The sequence below is a fragment of the Homo sapiens genome, chromosome 6 (assembly GCF_000001405.40).
Source record: "Homo sapiens chromosome 6, GRCh38.p14 Primary Assembly".
NCBI classification, from domain to species: Eukaryota; Metazoa; Chordata; class Mammalia; order Primates; family Hominidae; genus Homo; species Homo sapiens.
The window spans coordinates 50,705,090-50,720,421 of NC_000006.12; the positions used below are offsets into that span (position 1 = coordinate 50,705,090).

At 44.6% G+C, this 15,332-nt stretch overlaps 1 protein-coding gene across 1 annotated transcript in view, besides 5 other annotated features; it reads left to right on the forward strand.

Annotated features, from left to right (window-relative positions):
- Positions 1,658–2,159: an enhancer, noted in NCBI's record as "H3K4me1 hESC enhancer chr6:50674460-50674961 (GRCh37/hg19 assembly coordinates)". NCBI's record gives its function as "activates a minimal SCP1, AML or CMV promoter by ChIP-STARR-seq in primed H9 embryonic stem cells {active_cell/tissue: H9 hESC(primed)}" and the evidence as "EXISTENCE:reporter gene assay evidence [ECO:0000049][PMID:30033119]".
- Positions 2,279–2,780: an enhancer, noted in NCBI's record as "H3K4me1 hESC enhancer chr6:50675081-50675582 (GRCh37/hg19 assembly coordinates)". NCBI's record gives its function as "activates a minimal SCP1, AML or CMV promoter by ChIP-STARR-seq in naive H9 embryonic stem cells {active_cell/tissue: H9 hESC(naive)}" and the evidence as "EXISTENCE:reporter gene assay evidence [ECO:0000049][PMID:30033119]".
- Positions 2,781–3,280: an enhancer, noted in NCBI's record as "H3K4me1 hESC enhancer chr6:50675583-50676082 (GRCh37/hg19 assembly coordinates)". NCBI's record gives its function as "activates a minimal SCP1, AML or CMV promoter by ChIP-STARR-seq in primed H9 embryonic stem cells {active_cell/tissue: H9 hESC(primed)}" and the evidence as "EXISTENCE:reporter gene assay evidence [ECO:0000049][PMID:30033119]".
- Positions 8,437–15,332, forward strand: part of TFAP2D (transcription factor AP-2 delta) — a 59,508-nt gene continuing 52,612 nt past the window's right edge. The window contains exons 1-3 of the mRNA NM_172238.4: positions 8,437–9,005; positions 10,027–10,524; positions 14,001–14,061. Coding sequence (NP_758438.2) covers positions 8,967–9,005; positions 10,027–10,524; positions 14,001–14,061 — 598 coding nt within the window. The 5' untranslated portion in view covers positions 8,437–8,966. The remainder of the gene's footprint in view (positions 9,006–10,026; positions 10,525–14,000; positions 14,062–15,332) is intronic.
- Positions 10,171–10,701: an enhancer, noted in NCBI's record as "OCT4-NANOG-H3K4me1 hESC enhancer chr6:50682973-50683503 (GRCh37/hg19 assembly coordinates)". NCBI's record gives its function as "activates a minimal SCP1, AML or CMV promoter by ChIP-STARR-seq in primed H9 embryonic stem cells {active_cell/tissue: H9 hESC(primed)}" and the evidence as "EXISTENCE:reporter gene assay evidence [ECO:0000049][PMID:30033119]".
- Positions 12,442–13,435: an enhancer, noted in NCBI's record as "VISTA enhancer hs865". NCBI's record gives its function as "enhancer in: hindbrain (rhombencephalon)[3/6] | midbrain (mesencephalon)[6/6]" and the evidence as "EXISTENCE:transgenic organism evidence [ECO:0001131][PMID:17130149]".

A 15,332-nucleotide genomic window follows, 5' to 3' on the forward strand; every position in this document is an offset into this window, starting at 1 on the left:
AGGAAGGGGCATTATCACAGTTCACCAAAAGTGTCAGGGCCAAATTAGGAAAATATATCTTTTTAATGGAATGTTCTGTTGGGTCAGATCTGTAATAAAGCAGATATTGTGCAAATTTCTGGACACTATCCATAGGCATTACAGGCAGCAACGAGATAGTAGGAAACAAAGGAATAAGACAAATATGAATGGGCCAGGAGTTTCAAAACAAAACTCTTCAAGGGTAAGTAAAAGACAGACGTGAGGTCTAAACAGCATGCACAGAGTGTGGAGATTCAGCAAGATTACATAATGAAGTCGAGAAAGTGTAAAGGCAAACACTAGCAGAGCCAAGTTGAAGAAAAAAGGACGATTGCACCAGAGATTAAGATAAATAAAATAATAAGGCATTGTTCCAGTACATAAGGAAGAAAAGGTCAATGGAAAAATAAACGTGGCCTCTGAGAGGCTACTGGGGTAATTGACAGAAGAAACAGACAAAGCTCTTTTAGCAAAAAAAAAAAAAAAAAAAAAAGTAACTGGAGGCCTTGGTTGCCTCAAAGCTCCCCAAGGCTAGTAGGAAGGAGAAGAGGCAGGAGCTTGGGGTCAGCAACAAAACAGATCCACAGGGGTTGGTTAGAAGGTAGGAGAGGAGCTATGTACCAAGGTGACCAGAACATGAATTATTGTGGATGAAGAAACACCTCCACACCCCCACTTCACTGAGACCATGCACAGGATGTTAAGGCAAAATGAAACAGAAACCTTTGGAAATTAGAAGGGAGGGAGTTAAGTCGGAGCAGAATTCCAGGAAAGAAGAGGCGGTACCCCTGAATACATTGACAGGGTGGAATGGAAGGAGAGGCTAAGGGTAAATGTGGGGAGAGAGAAAGAGGGAGAGAAGGATGGAGAATGAGAGAGGGAGGAAAGAATTGAGAGAGAGAGAGAGAGAAAAGAGAGAAAGACATGAAGGGAGGGGAAGAAAGAAGAAACAATGAAATTAAAAAAAATTTAAAGACCAAAATGTTAGTTAAGCCATGAGGAAATACAAAATAGACATGTAAAAAAAGGACTGGACTACCGAGCTGTCCATTCCCTGAATCCTGAACCAGTGACTTGGGGCTGAGAGGACACAAGCATCTGAATTCTAGCTCCAGCCCTGGCTCTGTAGCTCCAGTGGCTGTGTGACCCTATACGGCAGTAGAAGGTAGAATCTGATGGCTTCTGGAGTCTCCTCCAGCAGAATTTTCTTTGGTAACATCTGTCCAAGGCTCGCAAAACGGGCCCTAGGGAAGCAAGAGTCTCCACTGATATTGTCACTCTTTAGTTGCCTCCTTAACAACTCTCCCTCTTTTCAAATAATAGCCAATATTTATAAAGGCATTCCTTGTCCACGTTGATCTCAGTGATATATATATTCACTTACTTCTCACAACAGCTGGACCAGCTAAGTGTATTATTTTTCTCATTTTACAGGTGAGAAAATTAAGTAACTTGTTCAAGTAGAATTGATGCCCAAGAAGATGCCCAAGTAGGGTTGGTGCCTAGGCCCTATGGTTGCGGCTCAATTCGTGCAACCTCAGTTACCAGGGGGTCCCGGGGCCAGCGCGGAATTCGCGGAATTCACCAAGCCGCAGCTGCCTGCCGCTGAATGCGAAGAGGGCGCAGGAGACTGGCAGGTACAGCTGGTGGTCCCTTCGGCCTGATTTCCCTGCTGAGTGCCACAGCGTCCGAGATCCACGACTGGCCAGGTGGAGCCACCGACTCTGAAGAGAACCAGAGGCGGACCAGCCAGGGGAGAGGGCAACCCTGGGAGCACTGCACCCTTGTCGGTCCCCTGGAAAGCTAGCGGTAAGATCCGGGAGGCTGAATTTGAGGCCGCGGTAGTCCAGGCGACTTCCCCTGGAAGGTGTGACGATGACTTGTACTGCAAAAGAAGCCTAGACCAGGCCTCCGTCTGGGTGTTTTCTTTTAGGCGTTTGGAGAGGGATGGAGATGGTGGGTGGGGGCGAGGGGGAGGGGTAAAAAGAGGAAATTAAAATCCTGGAAAAGTTTAGACGCAACAGTAAAGACCAGAAGATGGAGGGGGACAAAGTAAAACTTCCGGATTTGGGGCCAGAGCCCCTGTGACCCAGGGATCACTCACACCTCCTTGAGTCTCACTTTCCCCATCTCACAGACCTGCTGAGGGGGAGTGGGGCTTGGGATGAGCTGCCGCCAAACACTTCCGTTTCCTCATCTTTTGCAAAGGGAATGCATTTGCACTAATACCTACCATCCAAGGGTTGAAAGAATGAAATGATACAATCCTTATGAAGGGCTCGAAACGGGGCCTGGCACGTATGATAAGAGCTCAATAAATGTTAGTTGCTGCTACTTTGCTGTTATTTTTTCGTTTATACAAAGAGGATAATAATTATATATGTCCTGAATGGCAGAAAAGGGGAGTGTTCTCAGGATCAAATGAATCAATACTTTTTAAAGCGTTGGTAAACTAAGTCTCCATATGCAATCAGAAGGCTGGCAGACGGACTTGCAAAGCCCCTTACATTGCTACAAGGTTAAACAACTGAAAGAAGAAAAAGAGGACAAAGTGCAGCCTCTTTCGGAACTCAAACATTTCTTGGCCGAAAGAGGCAATTTTCCCATGGGAGAAAGGCCTTAGCCAGAAGAACTGGCTTCCTGCCTGAAGGCGTGCAACCAGCCAGGAGGCCTCCAGGGCATCGTGCCCTCCCGGTCTCCGGTTCTGCTGCCTGGGAGTGAACGTCCCCTGACGCGGTAGGGCTGGCGAGGCAGGCTCTGCATGCGCCAGAGCTTCGCGCAGAGGGCGGGTGAGTTTGCGCCCTGCCTGAGCACAGCTTGGCAGCTGTTGCAGAAGGGCAGGGAGCCTGCCGTCTCAGATGAGGGCCTCGGCTCCAAGTTCCATTGTTATCAAACAGAAGACTTCAGAAGAGGGAGTTCTCCCACTTAATTTTCCACTAATACGTTCGCGAGGCTTTTTAATTGCTTGCAAATGCATTTTCTCTGTACGACTATGGAATCCGTGTTGCCTGTCGGCTGCAAGGCTAAGGCGGAATACAGATCCGTGTTAGGCTTTTGACAAACAGCCCAGGGGGCGGGGTAGGGTCGTGAAGGAGGAGGTTTTGAAAAAAAAAAAAAAAGAAGAAGAAAAAGAAGAAGAAGGAGAAGAAGAAGAAGAAGAAGAAGAAGAAGAAGAAGAAGAAGAAAAGAAGACGAAGAAGAAGAAGAAGAAGAAGAAGAAGAAGAAGAAGAAGAAGAAGAAGAAGAAGAAGAAGAAGAAGAGGAAGAGGAAGAAGAAGAAGAAGAGAAAGAAAAAGGAGTTTAAAAAAATCAATGACAACCCTTAAACTAAAATGACTGCAGAGTCTGTCAGAAATGTTAATTTCCCCTAAACATCCTAAAGTTATTTTAAAAAATGGCCTGCCTGGCCCGGCGCGGTGGCTTACGCCTGTAATTACATCCCAGCACTTTGGGAGGCCGAGGCGGGCCGATCACGAGGCCAGGAGTTCGAGACCATCCTGGCTAACACGGTGTCTACTAAAAATTTAGCCGGACGTGGTGGAACGCGCCTGTAGTCCCAGCTACTTGGGAGGCTGAAGCAGGAGAATCGCTTGAACCCGGGAGGCGGAGGTTGCAGTGAACCGAGATCGCGCCACCATACTCCAGCCTGGGCAACAGAGACCGTGTCTCAAAAAAAAAAAAAAAAAAAGCCTCCTTTTCTTGTTTGCAATTAGGTAACGTTTTACGCAACGTGGCACTTCTGTCATAGAAAGTAGGATGGGTGTAGAATACCGAGAAGTAGAAGAGTTGTCAAATTTGATTACTTGATCATTTATTAAGAATTATCAGATTTGATAACTGGAAAAGGGAGGGACCTTTCGAAAGAGACCCAGAGTCGGCATCAGCACAGGCCAGAAGGAAAGGAAGCAATCACTGGGAGGGGAAACCTCGCGCGTCTGCACATGAATGCCCGTTACCATGCCTTTTCTCTCCGAATATTCCGATCCATACAACTGGATCAAGTTTTCGATTGCTGTCTCTGCCCAGAATTGCCCTGGTGTTTGGAGCACTTTTCTGTCTTCATCTCGACTAGTGAAGAATAAATGAATAAACTAGGGGTTGGTTTACGGCATGGTGAACCCAGCATACTCTTCTTTTCCACCACCTGAAGTATTGCCCCCACCCACTCACCAGAGCTCTTGGGCATTCCCCAAGAGCAGTGACTGAGTGACTAGGAGAGGTTAGGAGCTTGGAAGAATCACACCACAGGAGGTCCTTGGACTAGAAGACGTTTCTGAACCATTAGAATCCGAAGTGACTGTGAAACTTAGACCCTGCTGTAAAAGGGCCCTGAAGGTTCCCTCTGTGGTTGTCTCTAGAAGACCCCAGGCTGAGTGCCTCTCGGAAGCCTACCAAGTGGAGGCACTGAGACGGTTGGGGATTCTCAAAATGGTGGAAGGGGGCCCGAGGGCAGATGGAATAAAACACCACTAGATAAGTCGCAGGAGTCCTTTGGTTACTATGGATTCTCTGAAGGCACCTCTGCTCTTCATGTTCATCCAAAAAAGGAGTGAAAGGGCAGAAGCTGGAAGCAGTAAGGAGAGGTGCTGATTTTCATACCTACATATCTTGTTTTGCTTTGTGGAATGAACATCATTCACCTATATGGGATCCTTAGTGCCCCACTGTTCTTTCAAAGACAGGGTCTTTGTGACCATGGAAATTGTTTCCTATTGTGTAAATTCATGTCTGGTTATACAGCTGCACCTCCCACTGGAGCAGAACATGCTAAATTTCATTCTTAGACAATGTACACACATGTTTGCCTAAAAGGCATAAGTATAAGAGATTCAATCCCATCTCTATCTATCTTTTGTTAAAAAGGAAGGAAAGGAGGGAAGCAAGGAGGGAGGGAATAAAAGAAAAAAAACAGGGAAAGAAAAAGAGAAGAAATGAAGGAAGAAGAAAGAGAGAAAGAAAAAAAAGGGGAGGGAGGGCAAAAGGGAGAGAGCAAAGAAGATATTCTGGTTGATTCATGTGTCTAAATACATCCAAGAAAATATTTTTGTTTCAAAATGCCCAAAATAATTCCAATAATTATTCCACTTTGCTCAGTATTATATAGGCAATTTTGTGGGAGAAGTGTATTCAAGCAATAAAAAAACAAAATCAATTTGCAATAGCAAAGGAAACCCTAAGTACCAAAAGAAAGAGAAAAAAAGAAAGAAACCTGAAGAAATACATGTTTATTAAAGCTAGGGATAGGCATGAGTTCGTTTGTAATTGTTCACCAACCTCAAACACACAGTGGAGTGGCAAACTCTTTCAGTGAAGATGTTTGAGATTGGGTGAAAACTGTAAAGATGTTTGAGATTGGATGTTGAGATTGGAGTGATTTGTATAACGCTGGCCTAGAAGCCCAGGAAGGAATTTGCAACTACCCCAAAACTCTTCCAGCTCTGGATTCTAACCAAGACAATAATGATATATATATATATAAAGATTTCTTTGCAGATTCCTAAAGTGACTGCCATAAGACATTCCTTCCTGGCATGTGGAGCATGGAACCAGAAGGAAGAACAGGAGAACTAAGTGCTGAGGAACAACCTTTTCAGCTTTTGGGGTGCAAGGCCAGCAGCGTGTCCACCATGCTCTTGCCGGCTATTTTGAGTGACTGACGCCGGCCTGGCCTCTGACTGAGGCTGGAATGCACACCACGGGTTCCCTGTTGGAGGGGGCCCCAGGCAATAGTCACCAGAGTGCTGTGGCCAGTTAATTCAATTATGCCACCCGCTGGAAAATGAGTGACCAATCACTCTCTGGAAAAGAAGTAAAACAGAGAAAGAGGAATCAACTTTGCTAAAAAGCCCAGTCTTTGGGTCAAGTCAGACGACACTTATTAATTGCTCAAGACTATTAATTGGATGGGGGGGTGTCTGACAGAAATGAACGCTACACACACACACATCACATCACACACACACACACACACACAGGCACCAAACACACCACACACCTGCCTCAATGAGTTTCTTTAGAAAAGGGGCGCGCTGAGCAACCCCAGAGCAGATGGAAGGGAGCGCTGACCAATATGTGCATATGGCATGGATGATTTCCTCAACTTTGTTTCTTTCAGGGGAAAACAGCTTTTTTATTTTTTTAAGTTGGAATGAAGTGGGAGGGAGCAGTTGGCCAAATGAAGTTTCCCTGCAGTTCAGATGCTGGTGTGGGAAGCCAAGACATAGGGTTAAGAGGGATGCTTTCTAAGGTAGTCAAGGGCCCTGGCAAGGGAAATCTCAAAACTAAAAGAGAGCCATTTTATCCTTCCTGCTTCATTTTCCTTAAGTACAAATGAAAGGGTCTTTTCTCACTCTTCAGGATCTTTAGTTTCCCCTCATGTCCACAAGAGTTCAACAAGCATGTAAGTTAAACCCTGGACACTCTTTGTTTGGATACCTAAAAGTCACTCAGGAAAGTGAACCATGAAAGTGGGGTTAGGGGGTGGAATGCGATGATTGCCAGTTAGTTGGTGATGTCCTGATGTTCACAGGGTCCAGGCTACTGGAGGTCATTCCATGGGGTGTACTCAGTTCAAGGCCAGAGCTCATTACCGAGAGTATCATAAAGCTATATCTTCTGAGTGCGGTGGCAGGGGTGAGGGGGGCTATGTGTGGCTCTTATTCCAGACAGGGACAAACATGTGGAACAAACACTCTGGGCCAGCAGGCAGAGCAGGCGGCCACATCTTCCTGAGCTTCCTCATTGTTGTTCCCCGGGGAGAGGGTTTTGTGTCTGCTGCCTGGACCTAAACTGGGAAGAGAAGGTACCGTCACCTTCAATGAAGGTGTATCTGACAGTAGGGGTGTTGGAAAGGAGATTGCAACATGTCTGAGAAGGGCTATCCTCTTCCATTTGACCGGGACTAACTGGGAAGCCAATATCATCCACCAGGAAAAGCGCACCTGGGCATTCCCCAAGATAACCTGCAAGTCCTACATATTCTTCCAGGGAATGGTCTGCACTTTCCCAGGGGCAGGGGTGCCTGAGTTAAGGTCGTGGGGGCAGTCTCCATCTCCCAGAGATGATTAGTTATTTTCTCCGTGGGTAAGCTATGGAGGCCCCACTCAGACCTGGTAAACAAAGACTCCACTGCAAACATTTTTGGGATTCAACCCCTAGAGCCAACAGCACTCATTTTACCCCTTTTACTTAAAGATTAAGTTGGATATTCTTCCTTTTTGTCATCATTGGTCTCTCAGTCTCCTTACTTCATTAGGCCAAAATATGGAATTTCAAGGAGGGGTGGGAGGGGGGCAGCACTGGCACACCTTGAAATAGGGAACAAGTGTTGGCTGCTGACCCCATGTGGGGCTGAAGAATCGTGTATCTCCATTTCAGACAATGCATTTCAATTCTTGTCGTGTGCCTTTGTCCATTTGTATAAAGCAAAGAGCTCTGAGTGACAGCCCCAGTTAGCCTGCATGAGCAGATCCTAATAAACCCTCCCAAACCCCAACCTAAAAAAAAAAAAAGCCACATGCCTGTTTGCCTGAGGCTTATTATTAAGACACCTTCTCAGCTTAAACACTTAAAAGCAAACCAAATGAAATGGCAATTAAGACTGAATTACCCCTTCTATCTATGAGATGAGTCTGTGGGGCCAGCCAGTTCTTTCTTATAATGTAGACACTGAGGAGCAAAGCCTCAGTATTTCAGGTTTATAGCTACCACCACCCCCTCCAGGCACTAAACAACTTGGTGGAGGAAGCTGAATTTTGAAGGAAGGAAAGCTCAAAAACTGTTTGAAAGTCAAGAAATCCACTGAAGAGATGGAAATATGTGTGCACTGCTTCCTTCCTGCCCTCTATTTATAAAATATAACTTCCAAGCATTTAAGGGTTATTTTGGGGGTAATAGTGTTCAAAAACCTAATGCTACTGCTGAACGGTCTACACCCCACCACCACCAGCAGTGTTTCCAAAAGGGAAGAAGAAAAACACAAAAGAGGGGGGATATGGTTTGGTTTGGGGAGTGAAAGACAACAGTTTACCTAAATGTAGAATCTTGTCTTACATCTTTATTCCCTTGCATTTTTCCTAAATGCATTGCCAGTTACACCATTTCCTGATGATGGAAACTTGGGACTGTCCATCACCATTATTTATTTTTAAAGCTGCTGAAAAGTGTAAGCCACCGCTTGATTTTGCCTTTCAAAAAAGGGGAAAGAACCCAAATTCAATGTAAATATGGAAAGACCAGCATTGTTTCCACTTGGGCGAAGGCAGACACCCCAATCTGGGCAAAATTGATTCGGGTGGTTGTTGGAAAAAGCAGCTTTCAGCATCCAGGGAGTGGAACCAATAGGAATGAACACTTCCCCATATAAAAGGAAGCTTTAATTAATATATATTTCTATCTCTAATATACATATATTGGAGCTAGAGCTCTAGCTTCACAATAAAATGTGTGCAAATACTCTCCACAGAGATAAGTCCCCACCTCAGTCGGTATAGAAAAGCATGATAAAGGTTGGAAAAAATGGATAAAAATGTTGAAAGAACCTCCAGTTCCTTATTAGGCGAAGATACAATATTTATTCCTTGTCTCCTGGGATAAATCTCTTCTGCCTATTGTCCTCCCAGTTCTCAGTGCTGATGCTTAATTTTCAAAACTTCTATATTACCAAGGGACCTACGACATCAGCCAAAGAAATACTCAGCAAGTACAAAATCTGTTCCAGGGAGCTGCTTTTGTGCAGAGGGAAAATTTTGTTCCTACAGGTTTTTAAGTGGGTACGAGGCAAGGAGCTATCTGATCCGGGCAAAACCATTACAATTTAGATATCTACCTATAGAACATTTTTTTTTTCCTTTAAAAATTGGAAAATACAAGAAGTTTGGATTTTTTTTTCCCGATTCTTTTTTTGGAGGGGGAAATTGCATCGTAAGCTTTCGGAGAAACCCAACATGTCAACTACCTTTCCGGGACTAGTCCACGATGCCGAGGTATTATTACTTTTTTTTTTTTTTTTTTTTGAGCGCGCGTGTGTGTGGCGGCGGCGGCGGTGGCGGCGGTGGCGGCGGCGGTGGCAGCCTCCCCTGTCTCTAATCTATATTGGACCGTTACGTTTAATTATAATCTGTCTTTCGGGGGAAGTTAAGGAAGGAAAGGGGAGAAAGTTCGTTATGACATCTGTCGCCAGGGAGGGCAACTCTCTGCCACGTTAAGAAACATTTGCCATAATGAGCGGGAAAACATAATCTTAATAATAAAAGGGGGGAGTGAAGAGAAAGAGATAGAGACGGAAAGAAAGATTCTCAGAAAAGCAAAGAAAAGGGACTGGTGGGGAAGCAGTAGATGCACAAGGGGGATGGGGAAAACGCACCCCTTTTGGAATGGGCTTATTCAAGGAAAGGGAAGCAGAAAAGAGGGAGTCGGATTCCCTCCCTCGAATGACTAAGGAAGGGAGCAAGTTGAACGATTTGCACAGACTGGATTTTTTAAAATATATGGACAATGATTTTGAGCAGCCCGGGCCGAACATCTCGGCATAGACAGGCGCAGAATTTCGATGCTGGGGTCTAGTTAGAGTGGCAAGGCGCCCCGGGCCAGCGCTCTTTTCGGGTGGACTCGTTCCTCTGCTACCCGCGGCCCCGGAGTCAGTTGCAAACCTGGATCCCAACGCCAAGCTCCCTGCACAAGTTGGGCAGGGGCTGTGTGTGTGTCTGTGTGTGTGTGTCTGTGCGTGTGTGTGCGTGTGTGGTGTCACCCGCACCTATATAGGGTGGGGGATTTTTTTTCCGCTCTCTCGACTGTGAGGACGAGGCCGCCCACCCCCAGTTCGCCTGTTTGCAAAGGCTCTCTGGTGAAGACGCTGAGACCCGGCTTCGGCTCGGCCCGAGTCCTACGCGCTCGCTTTCCTTGGAGTGCCAGAGAAAGCTCCTGGCTCCGGGAGAGCGGCGCCTTGGTTGCAAAATGACAAACCTCAAGTTTTTCTGCTCTCCCTTTTCCCCCTCTTCCTTCCAGATACGTCACGACGGATCAAACAGCTACCGTTTGATGCAGCTTGGCTGTCTGGAGTCAGTAGCCAATTCCACTGTCGCCTATTCCTCCTCCTCTCCTTTAACTTACTCCACCACCGGCACCGAGTTTGCGTCCCCCTACTTCTCCACTAACCACCAGTACACCCCGCTCCACCACCAGTCCTTCCATTACGAGTTTCAGCACAGCCACCCGGCCGTCACCCCCGACGCCTACTCTCTGAACTCTCTCCACCACTCGCAACAGTACTACCAGCAGATCCACCACGGGGAGCCCACCGACTTTATTAACCTGCACAATGCGCGGGCGCTCAAGTCGTCCTGCCTGGACGAGCAGAGGCGGGAGCTGGGCTGCCTCGATGCCTACCGCCGCCATGACCTGTCCCTCATGAGCCATGGCTCTCAGTATGGAATGCACCCAGATCAAAGACTCCTGCCAGGGCCCAGCCTGGGGCTGGCCGCCGCGGGAGCAGACGACTTGCAGGTAAATAAGCATGCAGCGAATTTGTCTGCTCCCTCCCCTCTTCGCCCTCCCCCTGCCGCCCCATTAATGCTCCGACTGTAAAGCGTCTCTCTTTCTCTCTCTCTTCTCCTCTCTCTCTCTCTCTCTCTCTCTCTCTCACACACACACACACACACACACACACACACCACTTATGGAAAGTTATCAAAACAATTAGAGGAGGAGTGTGCCCGTTCTCTTCCTCTCATTGGATCCAAGCATTTCACCTGGAAGTGCGGGAGTCCGGGCGGCTGCGGCCCTCCATCTTTGGTTTGTCCTCACAGAAGTCTTTTGTGAATCAACATTTGTGACCCTGAGGGGATGAGGTGGAGGAGATCGAGGAGTCTGGGGTTGGGCCAACCGGACTCAGAGTAAGATCCAATAAATTGATGACCAATCGTACCCTCAATCTCCGCACTTTACAGGGTCTTCCGAGGCGTCCCAGGTGTTTGTCTCAGACTGAGCTTGTGGAGATCTTACTACAAACAGGCTTGTTCTAAGGAAATTGTTGGGACCCTAAGCTTGAACAAAAGTTTCACCAAATACACTAGATATCTGTGGAAAGTAAAGAATCGCAAATGAAAGTCTCAAAGTTCTACCCCAAGGAAATAATCCGCACAGTGCACTTTGCCAGGGTGTAGGGTTGAGTTTAATTCTCTCCGCCTGACGTGCACTCAAAACCGCAGCCCAGTTAGGTAATTTACAAGTTTATTTTTGCTCTTCCAGCCATTACATTTTACGTAAAATGCACCTCCTTAAAAAGATAAAAATGAGGCAGTAACGGTAATGAAAGAGGGAAAAAATAAAGAAGGAAGGAAGGAAGGAGAAAAGGAAGGAAGGAAGGGAGAAAAAGAAGAAGGAAGGAAAGAAGGCAGGTATTCAGACACTGTGGAGGCCATCACTCAATCAGATGATCTCTCTTCTACTTTATTTCTTAACACGTGTTTGCACATTCTTTACCAAAGATAGAATTTATAATTATGCAATTATGTTGCCATAGGCATATTTCAAACAAATGAGCCCACAAATACCCAGAAAATAATTCAAAAGACCCATAGTTTTAGCTCCTTTTAGCTAAAAGTGCAGTTCTACCTGTGAGTTCCTACTTTTTGTGTCTGCACAAAGCTGGCCACCTTCTTCACACTCTCCAGGACAAATAGGGAAATATTCTAAGAACATAAGTTGGAGACGTAAGAGATCCCTTGTTGCGCACAAAAAATCTTTCCTCCTCATTTACCTTTGAGCAAGAGATTATTTTTAAATTAAAGTGAAAGCCCTTACAGTCCCAACAAAGAGCCATAGCAGTAAGACCGGTGCACAAGAAAAAAGATTTGGTTCCATAAACCTTGACTTTCTACATTTATATTCACAAAATAATTTTATACGCTCAGGGCATTTTTACATTTTTCACAAGGATCCCCTTATGTCTCAAGAGGGAAAAAAATCTGCCATTCAGTGCTTAGCTCAACTAAAACCTATTTACTCCTTTTAATAGCCGCGTCTGCTGCTGATTTTTTTGTATCTGTACAAATTTTTTTTCTGTGCTAGGCACAAAGCCGAGCATTTTTCAAAAGAGCGGATTAGAACATTTGCAAGCACTAGACAAAGAGCGAATCCCGTGCAAAAGGACACCGTAGTTTATCCAATTTTCGACTTAGTGCCATTCAACTGGTCATTTATGCAATGTCATCCGACCAAACAACATGTTTTACTTATGAGGGGAAAAAGTTTGTTAAGTGAAGAAACCAAGATTCGTTTCTTCTAAGAAAATAAACATTGTAACCGTGCGCCAGAGAGTGGGAGGGAAAGTGATTCACTGCTTTGGAGAGCTTTGAGACCATTTATCATCTACATTTCAGATATTTTGAAAGCTTTTCTTCAGCCTATCTCTTTTTCCATATACGAATGTCCTTTTTCTCTTTTATTACTCATACTGAAGCAAAATTACTCATACTAAGGGACACAGTCCAAGATACTAGAAGAAATATAGTACTGTGTGTGATATACGTTTATACCTTTACATAGATATATCCATGTATGTATATATCATAATATATATCCATCTTTATCTATTTAATCTATGAATGCTATGTAGCAAGTTTGTAAATCTGACAAGTTATTTTCTTCCACTGTTCTTGCTCCAAGTTGGCAGAATGAAAAAGAAAGAGTCATAGCTACTTTTAAAACAAGAAATGGGGAGGGAGTGTGTGGGAGAAACCCGTCTCTCTCCTTTTATTTCTTCCTTTTTAAAACATTCATCAGCATATGCCTCATTTCAAATGCAACAAATGTAAATATACTTTTCCCTGCACAGAATTTTAAGTGAAAGTCCAATGGTTTGGAGGGCGGTCTAAGTCTGCCTAACAGATGCAAACAGTCTTGTGGCTTCAGTTCCATCTTTGAGTCCCCTAAAAAGATTTGCTATGGCCAACAAAGGAAACTGTCACACCTTTTCCCATCACCGCTTTAATTTATGCTCAGTCTCCAAGTTTTTTTTTTTTCATATTGATTTGATAATCACTTTAAGGCAGAACATTTAAAATAAGAAAGAGCTTGTGAGTAGGTTGAAAAGGGGGGTCTTACAGGCCTGCCTCAATATGGTGAAAATGGGGAGGCGAAAGGGAGCCAGGGTTGTAAAGGTTGTTTTGTAAAGTGGGTTTTTATTATGCACCGACTCTCTCCGCATTTACTTAACTCTTCACGGGCTGTTGGGTAGGTTAACACCCTTCAAGGCCTCTTTCATGTCCAATACCTCGTTTGTTTGTAAAGGAAAATGAGCCTTTAACACATTTTGATTTGGGAAAAAAGAAAACGACAGACAGGGAGAAATTTTTATTTTTCCTAATCAAAAATCAGCAAACTCTTTCCATCTTTCCAGCTCTAGGGATTCCTCAATCCATTAGGACTTTGAAGGCCTACAGTGAGTGAACCTGAAGATTTTTCCTTCATACGGCCCATTTTGGGTAGGATTACAGGATGTTCCTACATTTGGGGTAAAACAGAACCTCCATAAGACATCTTGTATCCTGCATATGAAGTAGCTCCTCTGTGTCCTCAAGAAACCCACAGTCCCAGACTTGACACTCTAGGTGTAATTTGCTCTACTCAGAAAGTGCTGAGTGTACACTGTCTGTATATACGCTGTGTGCCTTGATGGGGACTCAAAGGGCTTCTCATTCTCTTATGCCAAGATGAAAGACTCCCAGGCACTTTGAAGTGTAATATTGTATGGTGATGTAAAATGCATACCTTAAGATTTATACAACTTTTAGATTGTGGTTTTTCTTGCAATTTTTTAAAAAATTGTGTTTGCTGGCAAGCTTGCTTCAGCTCAATGCTTGCTTTCAAATGTCTACTGAAACAGAGTTCAGGGATGGGCTAGTCTAAAAGACTTTACCTACGTGGTCATGCATATGAGTATCCATTTAAGTAATTTTATTTCTGTTTCTTTTATTAAGGGCTCTGTGGAGGCCCAGTGTGGGCTTGTTCTCAATGGCCAAGGTGGAGTGATAAGAAGAGGTAAGTAACAAGTAACAACATGTTAACCCTAGACATTCTTCTCCTATCTCTTACTTTGTTTAGAAGATCTGGTTGTGCTCAGATTCCTTTTCTGATGATTAAGAAAACAATTATGCTTAGTCAATTATTCTAGTCCAACACTGGCATATCCACATTAAAAAGCCTCCTTTCTTTCATCAAGGTTTGAACCCAGGCTATGCCCATAAGACTTGTGATAGGAGATATTTGTTGCTCCTCACAGAACAGTGACAGAATCAAAGTTAGAGGCAGAAGGAAAGACAAAAGAAAAAGACAGAGAGAAAGAAAGAAAGAAAGAAAGAAAGAAAGAAAGAAAGAAAGAAAGAAAGAAAGAAGTTTCTCACACCCTCTTCCCCCAGCACTAATACCACATCCTCCAGCAGAATTTCTGGTCTTTTTAAGCCCTAAATGTGCTAGCCACAGCCTGGGTGTTTGAGATGATGGTGTTAGCTTCAGGCTTTTAGGGATTCTGTGAAAGGCTAGATCATTGAGGCTTCAGGGGAGGCTAATGAAACACCAATATTGTAGCTGCCCTTATTTTTCTAAGTGTCCAGGACATTTCTTTCTTTAAGGGAAGGTGGGAGGAGGAGGTGGTGTTAACTGTACTGGATAAAGCTTTCTTGTTCCCATCTGTTGAGGGAAACATCTGAATCCAGAGTTACCCATGGAATTGGAAGGTGGGGGAAGGCAAGAGGAGAGGAGAGAGCTGTTGCTTTCAGCTCGGGCACTAAAGGGGGCTGCATCTCAGATGTTCCATTTTGACAAAAGGTTTTGAACTATGACATTCTCAGAGCCTTAAGGCAGTGCAGATTTTGCTAGCTTCCCCTACTTAACTGTACCCAAAGCCTCTGAAGTTTATTTTTCTAGCAAGCTGAGTAACCCGAGCAGCACACAAGGCAAGAGGGACCAGCTGTTATCCTAACTTCATACGAATTAATAAGATGTGGTCTATTCACCAAGACTAATTCCTGCTTCAGGGCCACAGTTGTCTGCAGTAACAGAACACTAAAAACTGAGTCTCTTCTGATGGGACCAAATAAGTGTCCTTCAGCCCTTCTCCATCCCTTTGAAAGCTTCTTGAAAGATTTGCTTTTCCAGATAGAGAGATGTGCTGGTAGAAATCAGTTGCTTCTTTCATGTTTAAACTGCAGATTTTACATCCCAATGTCCAATGTAAACTCCATTTAAACTGAGGAGGAAAGAAAACAAAGGGTGCTTTCCTTTTGGAACTTGGTTATTGTTTTAGTGGATGC